At 36.0% G+C, this 14,977-nt stretch overlaps 1 annotated feature.

The window, feature by feature from the left end:
* Positions 13,542-14,355: an enhancer, noted in NCBI's record as "NANOG-H3K27ac hESC enhancer chr11:24467451-24468264 (GRCh37/hg19 assembly coordinates)". NCBI's record gives its function as "activates a minimal SCP1, AML or CMV promoter by ChIP-STARR-seq in primed H9 embryonic stem cells {active_cell/tissue: H9 hESC(primed)}" and the evidence as "EXISTENCE:reporter gene assay evidence [ECO:0000049][PMID:30033119]".

Below are 14,977 nucleotides of genomic sequence, written 5' to 3' on the forward strand. Positions count from 1 at the left end.
AGGCACGATTAATAGTCTATCTCCCTTCTCTAACCACGCAGTTCTCAAGAGGTAAAAAATTAATAATTTTATTTTCAGAAATAATCTATACATTTTTAAATATATGTAACTGTACATTCATTTGCACAATGGCATACAGTACGTAATAATGCATTTTGCCTTTTAGTAAACAATATATATTGAGATTTTTGAAATATTGGTAAATCTAAATTAACTTAGTCATTTTACTAGTTCTTCAGAATTCCATTAGATTGCTGTATTACAATTTACTTGACCATGATTTTTGCTGAAGAACATATAGCTTATTTAAATATTTTATTATCATAAATAATCCTGCTTTATTTATTTTTTGTTTATTTCATGTAATTAACACATGTATAAGTCTTTATTGGAAAAGAGATAAAAATGCTTATTGAAAGGGTGATGCATTTGGAATAATGATATATATTGACAAACTGTCCTCCATAAGATTGCTCCAATTTATACTCCTAGGATGTTTGAGAATGCCAGTTTCTCTCCCTATCAGAGTCCCTAAAAAGTATTTATCAAAGTCTTTTTGTGTGTGTATGTCTTCATATATACAGAACACATATGCATATATTGATATAGTGAGAGTTATTTCTTGGATATTTTATTTAGAATTTTTGTAATTATTATCAAAATATTTTCTATAATGTCTCTTTATCATAGTTTGCTTTTATGGTTTTGATATCAATATTCTAATCATTTCCTAAAATACTTTTTGGAATGTTCTCTCTTTTACATTTTTTGGAATATATAATATGAATTATTTGTTTCTTGAATATGTCATAGAATTTGACTTAAAATTTTTTGTGGCTTTTTTCTTAAATGTATAAGTTAGGATTCATAGACCTCACCTCTAATTTTTGTCTATAGAATTCTACTTGTAGTGTGACTTCACAAAAGTTTTAATGATGTTGAAAGTAAAAGTTTAGAATTATCTAAGCAGCCAATTCATTGTATTCATGATTTTTAAAAAAGATGTTTGAATTACAGAAATGAGTTCCCAATTAGAAATAGAGTATAATGGCTTTAACAAACAAACCTACAATCTCATAGTTTTTTACAGAAAAAAATGAAGAAGATTTTGGCATTGCAAATATACTTGTGGCATTAACTTTGACCCCTTAAGCATATTTTCCTTGGTGTACTCTTTCAATTTTTTTCCCAAAAATTTATTGGTCTTTGGGAGATAGATGACACAACTGGGGTAGCCTCAGTCTGTCAGAAATATCTACAAGATATGAAAAAACACAACATCACAAGTAAGCATATTCTTTTTTTTACTTTTTTTTTTTTTCTTCTTCTTCTTGGTTGTTTTCTTTTTGAGATGGAGTCTTGCTCTGTCGCCCAGGCTGGAGTGAAGTGGTGAGATCTCAGCTCACTTCAACCTCCGCTTCCCGGGTTCAAGCAATTCTCCTGCCTCAGCCTCCCGAGTAGTAGCTGGGCTACAGGCGGCTGCCACCAAGCCCAGTTAATTTTTGTATTTTTAGTAGAGATGGGGTTTTGCCATGTTGGCCAGGCTGGTCTTGAATTTCTGACCTCAGGTGATCTGCCCACCTTGGCCTCCCATAGTGCAGGGAAGGCATACTCCTCTTAATATAGAAAGATAACGTTTATAATCCCTCCCCAGTTTGCTTTGGTTACTGACCTTTTTCCATTTCACCAGGGCTCAAGAGGAGCAACAAGCACCCGCATGGAGTGTATTCTTTACCTCCGTTCTTTTTTGTTTTTAAACTTGAGTCCTAAATTTTGTTAATATATGAGGAAAAAAGCCCTTTCTGCGGATGGCTGACAGCAGGAATGACTGATGTTATCCTTCATGTAACACTTTGTTCCCTGTCTTAAGTTAGCCTTCTCTTTGATAGAGGTGCATTGACATAGCAATAGCTTTAACCCAATAAAGCTCTCACAGAGCTTTCAAAATATTTTACACTAGACCAAAACAAGAAAGTTTCAGGAATTGCCACAAAAAAACTCTTAAATAATTATTTTAAAATGCCTGTACTTGCACTGTTGATATCTATTATAGTGTGATAATCAGAGGGATATAAATTATTTGTTCTTTTAATTTTTATTCAACTTTCTTCAGATAATAATATGAGGCTCCAAAGGGTTTACAATGATACAACTTAAAGACTGTGCACTTTTTGACCACCATAGCAGATATTCTTCTGAGTACACCACAGTTGCATTGGCATTATTGAGCTTTTTCCCACGTGTAAGAAAACAGGGTGCTTAGCTGCATTCAAAATCAAACATCAGCTGCGAAAAATGTTCTCTTTTCTGACAGTTCCATCATGAATATTACCTATGCACACCAAGACCAGTCAAAACGATAGCGAGAATACATCAGATATAATTAAGCTTTGTATTTGAATACCTTTTTCTCAAGACTCATTCCAGAGCATGACACTATATTTGTGGAAAGTTAATAGATACAAATTTATATTTAATGTGACGTGTCATAGTTTATTTATTCTTTGATCCTCAAATTATTTTCCCTAGACAGTGAATTTAGTAAGATATAAAAAGCAAACATTGGCCTTCTTTTGGAATTTAAATGGACTTAATGTGTGGTTAAACAGTGGATTAATTATGTAACAATTCCAGAGATCATTAATGAATGCATTGCTAGTGTGGGAATTTTTTAAAAAGAAAAGTGCTATACCAGTGCCAGTCAGATTTACTTAGTTTGATTTTAAAAGCTAAGTTTCAAAATAGTTTGGGCATAAAATGTTGTCTTTATGAGAACATTTTTCTGTTTGCAGTTGTTTTCAGATGCCAAATTTCAAGGGCTGTTTACAGGCTCAATTAAGGGGTCAAGTACTTAATACCCAAACTGGTTAATTGTACCCATTATTACTCAGCCAATGAAATTACAGTAGCATACCCAAACAAGAAAGCACCACTGAAAATGAGTCCTCATAAATTTCTCCTAGGACCTCCTGCACTGAAAATGACATCATTTTTATTTTAATAAGTGGGATAAGTAGGAATTATAATAATATTTTCTTTTTCTTCATTTCCATTAGCACAAAGATTTTTTTTTCGAATGTCACAAGTGAAAGGAGCCATTTGGCTCCGATTTCAGTACCAAGGGAGACCACTTCAGTGGCTTTTAACAGAATTGGCTAGTCCAGAATAAGTGAAAATGTCAGTGTATTCAGATCCACTGAGCCATGAAACCAAATGTGGTGCCACTTTGCTATTATATTATAAGGGAAAAAAAACAAACATTCAAATTTGTCCTGCTTTTAAAATATTTGATTAATATATGTTTGTAAATAACCGTTTACGTAAGTAAAAGCAAGTGTTAATACTGGCTCAGAGTTTCTTGATTAAGCTATGAAAATAGCATCAATTTATGTAATTTCTATTGAACAGAGAGATATCTTGATAATCATTGAATCCAAACCCTTCGCTTTAGAGAAATAGAAAATGAGGCTGAGAGATAGAAAGCCACTTGCCCGTTGTCAAACAACTGAGACTCTACAAGCCTGCCATGTTTTGCTGCATCCTGTTTTCTGATGCTGCAGTGCAGGCCTTTGAATTCCCTCTGTAACTGTGCCATGCAGTTCCGTATACCTAGAGCTCACCATGTCCCTTTCACCATTGCTTTCAAACGTCCTTTTAAAGGAAATTTTTCCTAGCTCTAAGGATATAATCTTTCCTTGCTCTGTATCCCCATAACCCATTGTTATCTAACCTTCAGGATCTAAAATAGATTCACTTTTCTTATTGTTATATATGTGCTTGCCTTAACCCTTTTTTTTCTACCTTCATTATGCCACAAGTTTTTTTGAGAGCAGAAAATTATTTTACTTAACTTTGATAGTCTATATTGTATCTAATATGTAATCCAGCCTGGGTGACGGAATGAGACTCTGTCTCAAACAACAACAACCAATTCAATTCTCTAAAAACCTAAAGACCTGGAGCCTATAGTCAGAAAGAATGCTGTCTAAAGTTGAATCAATCTGATGGGAATATTAAGGCTATTTAATCCCCATCTAGTATATTATATTTACTGTGATACTGTATCATGTGTGATGCTGTTGATTGCAAGTAATAGAAAACATGCTAAAATAGCTTATTAATAAGGACATTTTATTATTTAAACAGAATTTTCTAGGCAGTGTCATTTCATGGTTGTTTAACTGAGCAGCTCAATAAACCATTTAAAACTGCTTATTTCCAATGTACTATTTTGCCATTTGCTTTACACTGTCCTCAAGGTTGCAAAATTGGAACTATATTTTCAGGTACTTCTTACAAAAATAACAATATATGCCAGCAAATTGAGTCTATTAATCATCAATTCTTAAAAAATCCTCTCACTTTTCATTGGCTAGAATTCTATCATATGCTCCTTTTTAGTCTGTACCTACAGTGATGAATCAGAATCTTTTGGTTAGCTTAACATTAACAGGATTTATTCCTGAGTTCCTTGAGGAAAAATTGGGTATTTTTTTGCAAGAAAAAAATAAAATAATTATTGAGAATACAATCAACAATGTTAGGGAGGACACTAAAAAAAAGCTGTTAAGGGATAAAACTTTTTATCATAATATTCACATTTTACTACCATCAAATAATTGATTAGAATAATTCAAATAATAAGTTCTATAAGCATGTTAAAATATATATTCTTCCTAAATTTACGAGTCTTTCAAAATATATGTCCAATAATAATCTAGTTTCTACATTTAGTGAAGAGAGACTAAGCAGTTAGGAATCTGAGTGGAAAAATCATACTCAAAAAGTGCTTTTTTCTCTCTCCTCACTCAACGGCAATAAACACAGAAGACTTCTGGAACCAAATATGTAAAGGTTTCTCCTCATCAAAAAGCAAGCAATCAATTCTGCAGTGAACACCGCAGCTAGGTATCCTTCAATTCAATGCTGACACTATCTACCTGGAGATGGCAGTATCATATCCCACAGGCTGAGGGCTCTGTCCTACAAGACCGTCTCTCACTTCTGATTCCAATTCCAAGTCCCAAGTTGGTTTATATGTGCTTCTGACCTACTGGATATAAAACTAGAATCACATGAACCCCTGTTCAGGTTTGATTAATTTGCAAGAGTAGATCACGGAACTCAGGGAAACATGTACTTATGTTTTCTAGTTTATTGCAAAGGATATACATAAAGAGATATATGGGACTGGATATGGAAAATAGTGGGGAGTTTCCGTATCCTCCCTGGGTGTGCTACCCTCCAGGAGCCTTCACAGACATGTTCAGCTATCTGGAAGCTCTCCCCACCCTGTCCTTTTGGGAGAATATGAAGGTTTTATTACTGAGGTATGATTGACAGCCATATAGAAATGTGACTGGACAAAAAGGGTATGATGTAATACTAATAGATTGAATGGGGGAAACCCGGCAAGGCCTGTCTGTTCAGATACTTCTTTGCCACTTGGTATAGCATATCATTCTCCAGGGTTTGGGACAGAACTTCTTCTGCAATGGAAGTCTTATGACATACAGTCAGTCAGGGAATTTGCTTATGACCAGCTCCAAGACAGAAAGGTATAAAAAGAGTCCTGCCTTGAGGACAAAAAGGAACTGGTAAAAGGCAGGCAGGAGAAGGTCAGAGAGAAACATTTTATTTTCTGAGGCCTGCTTCTCAGGTCTGAAGTACCTTAACATTGTAACAAAAGACTGCAACAAGGGCTGTGGGAAACTGCCCTTGTTACAAGCAAGAAACTGCATGCAAAAACTGCATGCAAAAATCAATACAAGGGGTCTTCAACAAGTTCGTGGAATATGTGCCTTATGAAAAAACTGCATGAATTTTATTTTTTTTACTTCGATATAAACTCACACTAATTTGGTCTATCTGAAGAGGGTCTAGTTTGAGGCACTAAGAAGGATTAGACATTAGTTTAAAAAGAGACTTTATCGGAGTGTATTAGTCCATTTTCACACTGCTGATAAAGACATACCTGAGACTGGGTAATTTATAAAGAAAATGAGGTTTAATGGACTCACAGTTCCACACAGGAGCTTCAGGATCAAGCTCCTGAGGTACTTCTTCAAATAATGTAATAGGAGATAGAACATGACTCTAACAGTATGATCCTGAAGACAAAGCACAGTCAAAGCAATGGCTACCAAGAGATGGAAATAATCCAGTAAAAGCAAGAGCAGATGAGTCAAGAACAAAGGTAATGGCAACGGTTTTGGGAGAATGCTCAAGGCATTGTGCTTACTCACAATCACGCTACAAGGTGAAAGGCACATCTTACATAGCGGTGGACAAGAGACAATCAGAGAGATCTGAAAGCAGAAATCCCTTATAAAAACATCAGATCTCATGAGATTAATCCACTACCAGGAAAACAGTATGGGGGAAACTGCCGTCATGATTCAATTATCTCCCACCACGTTCCTCCCACAACACATGGGAATTATGGGAGGTACACTTCAAGATGAGATTTGGGTGGGGACACACAGCAAAACCATATCACATGTTTGTGTTGCTCACACAAATCCTTTAAAACAGAAGCAAGAGCATACATAAAATTCATGGTGAAGCTTGGATGGAAGAATGGTGAAATCACTGATGCTTTACAAAAAGTGTATAAGGATAATGGCCCAATTAAATCAGCAGTTTACAAATGAATAACTCATTTTAAGAAGGGAGAAGACCATGTCGAAGATGAAGCCCATAGCATCAGATCATCCACATCAGTTTTCAAGGACAAAAAAATCTTGTTTATGCCCTAATTGTAGAGGACCAATGACTAATGGCACAAATCAGTTTCAGACAAGGGAAGTTTCAGTGGCAAATTTCAATAAGTGGGATCAAGCTCCTGAAGTACTTCTTCAAATAATGTAATAGGAGATAGAACATGACTCTAACAGTATGATCCTGAAGACAAAGCACAGTCAAAGCAATGGCTACCAAGAGATGGAAATAATCCAGTAAAAGCAAGAGCAGATGAGTCAAGAACAAAGGTAATGGCAACGGTTTTGGGAGAATGCTCAAGGCATTGTGCTTACTGATTTTCTGGAGGGCCAAAGAACAATAACATCTGTTTATGAGAGTTTTTGAGAAAGAGAAAGCTTTAGCAGAAAAACATCCAGGAAAGCTTTAGTCTTTCTCCAGTACAACAATGTTCCTACTCATTAATCTCTCATCAAACAGAGGCAATTTGGAGAGATTTTTGATGAGAAATCATTAAGCTTCTGCCTTAAGTTCTGATTTGGTTCTGACTCCTTTTCATTTCCTAATCTTAAAAAAGTCTTTAAAGGGCTTCCATTTCTCTTCCGTTAGTAATGTAAAAAATATAGTATTAACATGTTTAAATTCCCAGGGCCCTCAGCTCTTTAGGGCCAGACTAAATGGCTGTTATCATCACTTACAAATGTGTCTTGATCTTATGGAGATTATGTTGAAAATTGTTTTTATTTTATTTAAAATATTTATTTTACTTAATTGTTTTCATTCCAATTTTCCTTGAAATCCACTTGAGTGTATGTATACGTACATAAAATATTACAAGAATAATTCAGCACCCCTCCTCAACAATGACATACTTTTCTTTCCCATACCTTTCTTACCCATACCTTGTCTTTATTAGTTTGCTATATGTGTATTCATCTGAATGTGTTATATATAATTACTTCATATATTTATCTTTTTTCCAGATGAACTATTATATGATGTATGTTTTTGTAGTCTGCTCTTTTCTTAAATAATTTTCTGAGTTTAATTATCTTAATACATTTTATCCATGTTAATTGGTTGTTAATCCGTCTGGAATTGTTATTTGTGGATAGTAAATATAAGAGTTACATTATTTTTATGACTGATTTTCTCAAACTATTAAATTTTAATAACTGTATTTGTTTTCCTTTGATAGGTATTATTTCTCTACAGTATATAATGCTAGCCATATCATATAGTATACCCGTATCTACAAGAGTATTTTTAAGAACTCCCTGTTGTATTGATTTCTCCGTCTCAGAGATGGTAATTTTTCAATTCACGTAGCTTTAGAATAAATCTCAATATTGACAAACCAAAGTGACTCACCTTGATTTTCTTCTAAACTGTCCCCAAGAACTAGGAAAATAGTTCCTAGGAAGACAATAATTGCATCTTCTGTAATGCCTCTGATTGATATTTATATATTTCTCCAAAATATTCACCCATATGTTAAATTTATTTCTAAGGATTGCATTATTTTTCATTGTTATTATAAACAATACATTTTATATTTCTTTTTTTTTGGTTTTTACTAATATAAAGTATGTAGTTGATCTGTATGTTAATTTCACACATAGAAACTTTAAGAACTCAATAATGAAATCTAATCACTTTTCTATAGATTTTCTTATGCTATGCTATCATAGCTTCTTCACATACAGTTTTACTTGTTTTCCAATCTTTAGATATTTTGGCTCTTTTCTTGTATTACTGACCCTGGTTACATCTTTGATTCATTGTTGTATTGAACAGGTGATATTGGGCTTTCTCTTTTTGTTCCTGATCTAAAAGTGAAAGTTTTGACTCTGTAGTTTGCATTTTTTTAAGATAATTCTTATCAAGTTAAGGTAGTTTCCTTTTCCTAAAGGTATTTATTATTAGTCTGAATTGATTTAAAGTTTTTAAGTATGTATTTTACTAAATTTTTATTGAATAACAAAATGCATGTAACCACATTCATGCAATCATCACCTAGATCAAGAAACAGAACATTTAACAATACCCACAAAAGAACCCCTTGTACTCTCTTTCACTCACTTTATCTTTCCTTTCCCTCCTATAAAATAAAAGATGACTATTGTAATTTTCTAAAATCATAAATCAATAATGCCTGTTTTTAATCTTTATATAAACGTTAACAATATAGTAAATGTTTACTTTGTTATATAAATATTACTATTAAATATATTTAATAATATATTAAATATATAATTAATATATAATATATAAATAGGAACATGCCAGATGTACTCTTTTGTTTTAGATATCTAGTGCTCAGAATATATTTATGATAGCCACGTTGTTATGTGTAGTTGTAATTATTCTAATTTCATTGATAAATAATATTCATTGTTTTAAATACTATAAATTTATCCATTCTAGTGCTGATGGATGTTTGTGATTTTCTGATTTTGTATATCATGAATAGTATTTCTCTGAATATTCATGTACTTGTATTGTTGAGAACATGTGTACACTTATATTGGACACATTTCTTTTTTCTTTTTTTTCTTTGGTTTTGAGATAGAGTCTTGCTCTTGTAACCCAGCCTGTAGTGCAATGGTGTGATCATGGCTCACTTTAGCCTCAACCTCCTGGACTCAAGTGATTCTGCTGCCTCAGCCTCCCAAGTAGCCAGGAGTACAGATGAGTGCCACCATGCCCCAATAATCAATATAGTCCTAAGAATGAAAATGTTGAAACATAAATTATGCATATGCTCAGCTTCAGTAAATATTGCCAAATAATTTTTCCAAATGGTTGCACCAACTTACTCATCCATCAGCTCTCTATGAGAGTAAAGATTGCTATATATTTTCACAAAAGTTAGTATCTACATCTGCCCAGTTATGACATTTACTGAAGATTCCTTATGCCTAAGTAATGCTTCCAGGGGAAAAGTGAGTTCAGATATCAGTTGATTTCTGTGGTACAACTCTCTCTAGACTCTAGCTCTTAGTATTTAAACTTAGACATTCAACAGCTCTCTGATTCTGTTAAACAGAGGAGTTTAGTCTTTTATCTGGCTTTTCTAGTTGTCTACTCTCCATTCTGTGTGAAAGTGGATATGGCATGTTGGATTTTATTCAATTATTTATGTAAATATATTTAAAAGAGCATGTGATTTTTCTTCCTTAATCTAGAGTTTCTAATGCTAAAATATATTTTTATTACTTCAATAAACCCATTTTGATTATTATTAATTTTTTTTTGAGGTGGAGTCTCGCTCTGTCATCAGGCTGGAGTGTAGTGGTGTGATCTTGGCTCACTGCAACCTCCAACTCCCTGGTTCAATCGATACTCCTGTCTCACTGTCTCAGCCTCCCGAGCAGCTGGGATTACAGGCACCTGCCACCACGCCCAGCTAATTTTTGTATTTTTAGTAGAGATGGGGTTTCACCATGTTGGCCAGGATGGTCTCAATCTCCTGACCTCGTGATCCACCTGCCTTGGTTTCCCAAAGTGCTGGGATTACAGGTGTGAGCCACTGCAGCAGACCTATCATTAATTTTTAATAAAATTTATCTTTATTTTATTTCTTCTACAATTTGTTGGGTTTATTTTAATTACTTAACTTAGAATTTTGGTTTGCTAATATATAGCTTTTCTTTGTTTCAAATATAAATATTTATATATACAAGTTTAGCTGTAATCACCATCCATGTATCTCAAAGTATTAAAATTGAGTATTTGAATTAACTGAAATGTTAATATTTTAATATATATTTGAATATCTATTGTGAATAATTTTTTCAACTCACAATATTTAGAATTGTGCTTATAATTTCAAAAATATATGGGGTGTTTTTTGTATGATATTATTGAATTCAAACATAATTGAATCATGCTTAAAAACAAGATCTTTGTAATACAACTTGTGTGAAATCTTCTGAAGTTTGTTTTTGATCTAATATTTGGTTCATTGTTTAAAAATATTTCTTATGTGCTTGAGAAGAATATATACTCTATATTTTGGATATGAATTTCTATATATTTTCTGCTTTGCAAATAGTGGTATTATTTAAGTCTTCCACACCTTATTATTTGTTACTCCTGAAGGCTGATTGTTTTTAAAATTTGCTTTGTGAGTTTGTGTTTGTTATGGTTTGTCTCTGTGTCCCCACCCGAATCCCATCGGGAATTGTAATCCCCATGTGTCGGAGGAGGGGCCTGGTAGGAAGTGATTGGATCATGGGGGTGGATTTCCCCCTTGCTTGTGCTCATGATAGTGAGTGAATTCTTACAAAATCTGATGGTTTTAAAGTGTACCACTTCCTGCTTCACTCTCTGTCTCTCTTGCCACCATATAAGATGTGCCTTGCTTACCATTTGCTTTCACCATGATTGTATAAGTTTCCTGAGGCCTCCCCAGTCATGCAGAACTTTGAATCATTTAAACTTATTTTCTTCATAAATCACCCAGTCTTAGGTAGTTCTTTATAGCAGTGTGAGAATGAACTAATACATAATATTGGTTCTGGGAGTATGGCACTGCTATAAAGATACCTGAAAATGTGAAAGCAACTTTGGAACTGGGTAACGGACAGAGGTTGGAACAGTTTGTAGGGATCAGAAGAAGACAGGAAGATATGGGAAAGTTTAGAACTTCCTAGAGACTTGTTGAATGGTTTTGACAATGAAGTCCAGGCTGATGGAGTCTCAGATGGAGATGAGGAACTTATTGGAAACTGGAGCAAAGGTCACTGTTGCTATGCTTTGGCCAACACTGGTGACATTGTGTACCTCCTCTTAGGATCTGTGGAAGTTTTAACTTGACAGAGATGATTTAGGGTATCTGGTGGAAGAAATTTCTAAGCAGCAAAGCATTCAAGATATTTCCTGGCTGCTCCTAACAGTGTACAGCCATATGCATTTGAAAGAAATGATCTGAAATTGGAATTTATGTTTAAAAGGGAAGCGGAGCATATAAGTTTGGAAAATTTGCAGCCTGACCATGCAGTAGAAAAGAAAACCCCATTTTCTATGGAGAAATTAAAGCTGGTAACAGAAATTTATATAAGTAAAGAGGAGCCAAATGTTAATATTCATGGGAATGGGGGAAAATGACTCTAGGGCATTTCAGAGATCTTCACAGCAACCTCTCCCATCACAGACCCAGAGACCTAGGAGGGAAAAGTGGTTTCCTGGGCTGTGCCCAGGACCCTGCTACTCTGTGCAGCCTTGGGACATGGCACCCAGTTCTCCAACTCTAGCCATGGCTAAAAGGGGCCAAGGTACAGCTCAGGCCATTGATTCATAGAATGCAAGCCCCAAGCCTTGGTGGCTTCCATGAGGTGTTGAGCCTTCAGGTGCACAGAAGGCAAGAGTTTGGGAACCTCTGCCTAGATTTCAGAGATGTATGGAAATGCCTGGATGTCCAGACAGAACTCTGCTGCAGGGATGGAGCCCTTATGGAGAACCTCTATTAGGGCAGAGCACAGGAAAAACATGGTATTGGAGCACCCATACAAAGTCCCTACTGGGACACTGCCTAGTGGAGGTGTGAGAAGAGGGCCAGCATCCTCCCAACTCTAGAATGGTAGATCCACTGACAGCTTGCACCATGCACCTGGAAAAGCCACAATCACTCAACATCAGCCTGTGAAAGCAGCCACAGGGGCTGTACCCTGCAGAGTCACAGTGGTAGGGCTGCCCAAGGTTGTGGGAGGTTACCCCTTGCATCAGCTTTCCCTGGATGTGAGACATGGAGTCAAATGAGATTAATTTGGAGCTTTAAGATTTAATGACTGCCTTGTTGGGTTTCAGACTTGCATGGTTTCTGTAGCCTTTTTGTTTTGGCCAATTTCTTCCATTTGGAATGGGAATATTTACCCACTGCCTGTACTCCCATTTTATTTTGGAAGAAACTAACTTGTTTTTTGATTTTACAGGTTTCATGGATGGAAGGGGCTTGTCTTGTATCAGATGAGACTTTGGAGTTGGACTTTTTAAGTTAATGCTAGAATGAGTTAATACTTTGGGACACTGTGGGGAAGACATGATTAATTTTGAAATGTGCAAATGACATGAGATTTGAGAAGGGTAAGGGGGAGGATGATATGATTTGGCACTGTGTGCCCACTCAAATCCCATTTTAAATTATAATCCCCATGTGTCTTAGGAGAGGCCTGATGGGAGGTGATTGGATTGTGGGAGCAGATTTCCCCCTTGCTGTTCTTGTAATAGTGAGTAAGTTCTCATGAGATCTGATGGTGTTAAAGTGTGGCACTTCCCACCTCACTCTCTCTGTCTCCTGCTGCCAGGTAAGACATGCCTTGCTTCCCCTTTGCCTTCTGCCATGATTGTAAGATTTCTGAGGCCTCTCCAGCTATGTGGAGCTGTTAATCAATTAAACTCCTTTTCTTTATAAATTACCCAATCTCTGGCAGTTTTTTATAGAAATGGGAAAATGGACGAATATAGTGTTCATCTGAGCTTTCACTGTGAGAATTTTGTAAATATAAGGTCTTATCTGAGGATTTGTCTTTCCACACAGGGTGTGGACTGGCTTCTGTCAGAATTCAAAGTGTTACTATCAATCTGGTCTTAGATTTCCGATTAAATTATTTGTATAAGATTGCATTTTTTATATTTTGCTCTGTATCAAATTATCATCAATCTTAGCAATTCTAAGCAAAAAAATTTATTATAATTTATTATTATAACATTTATAAATGTTGAGGTTTGTTTCTTTGTTGTGTGTCATAAATTTAGGAGCCCCTTAGCTAGGTGGTTCTGGCTCAGGATCTCTCATGAGGTTATGGATAAGCCATTGGTCAAAGATGTAGTCTTCCAAAGGCCTTAGTGGGGCTGGGTGATCTGCTTCCCTCAAATGGCTATAAGGAGTAAACCTTGAATCCTTGCTAGCTGTTGGCAGGATGCTTCGGTTTGTCTTCACATGGACCTTTCCATAGGACTGTTTGATGTTTCCTCACAACATAGGAGGAGATTCCCCCATGATGAATGACTGAGAAGAGAGAGAACAATGTGGGGAAAAGCAAGAGAGATCAGATTGTTACTGTGTCTGTGTAGAAAGAAGTAGACATAGGAGACTCCATTTTGTTATGTACTAAGAAAAATTCTTCTGCCTTGAGATTCTGTGACCTTACCCCCAACCCCGTGCTCTCTGAAACATGTGCTGTGTCAACTCAGAGTTGAATGGATTAAGGGCGGTGCAAGATGTGCTTTGTTAAACAGATGCTTGAAGGCAGCATGCTCCTTAAGAGTCATCACCACTCCCTAATCTCAAGTACCCAGGGACACAAAAACTGCGGAAGGCCGCAGGGACCTGTGCCTAGGAAAGCCAGGTATTGTCCAAGGTTTCTCCCCATGTGATAGTCTGAAATATGGCCTCGTGGGAAGGGAAAGACCTGACCATCCCCCAGCCCGACACCCGTAAAGGGTCTGTGCTGAGGAGGATTAGTAAAAGAGGAAGGAATGCCTCTTGCAGTTGAGACAAGAGGAAGGCATCTGTCTCCTGCCTCTCCCTGGGCAATGGAATGTCTCGGTATAAAACCGGATTGTATGCTCCATCTACTGAAATAGGGAAAAACCGCCTTAGGGCTGGAGGTGGGACCTGCGGGCAGCAATACTGCTTTGTAAAGCATTGAGATGTTTATGTGTATGCATATCTAAAAGCACAGCACTTAATCCTTTACATTGTCTATGATGCAAAGACCTTTGTTCACGTGTTTGTCTGCTGACCCTCTCCCCACAATTGTCTTGTGACCCTGACACACCCCCTCTTTGAGAAACACCCAAAAATGATCAATAAATACTAAGGGAACTCAGAGGCTGGCGGGATCCTCCATATGCTGAACGCTGGTTCCCCGGGTCCCCTTATTTCTTTCTCTATACTTTGTCTCTGTGTCTTTTTCTTTTCCAAATCTCTCGTCCCACCTTACGAGAAACACCCACAGGTGTGGAGGGGCAACCCACCCCTACAGAACAAGAAAGAAGCTGAAATGAATTTTGTGACCTAGCCTCAAAAGGCACCCATTGCACTTCTGATATATCCTATTCATTATGAATGAGTCACTAAGCCTAGCCCACAAGCAAATGAAGAGAATTAACTTCAGCTTCTAAAAAGAAGCCATATCCAATATTTTAGGGCCTATTTTAAATCCACCCCAGCAATTTTTACAGAATTTACACAGAATATAAATTAAACTTTGATGATTAATTAGGGGAGGTATTTAAAAATATTTCTTAGGGGAAACTTTTTTTTCCTACT

Source organism: Homo sapiens, chromosome 11 (assembly GCF_000001405.40).
Source record: "Homo sapiens chromosome 11, GRCh38.p14 Primary Assembly".
Lineage (NCBI taxonomy): Eukaryota > Metazoa > Chordata > Mammalia > Primates > Hominidae > Homo > Homo sapiens.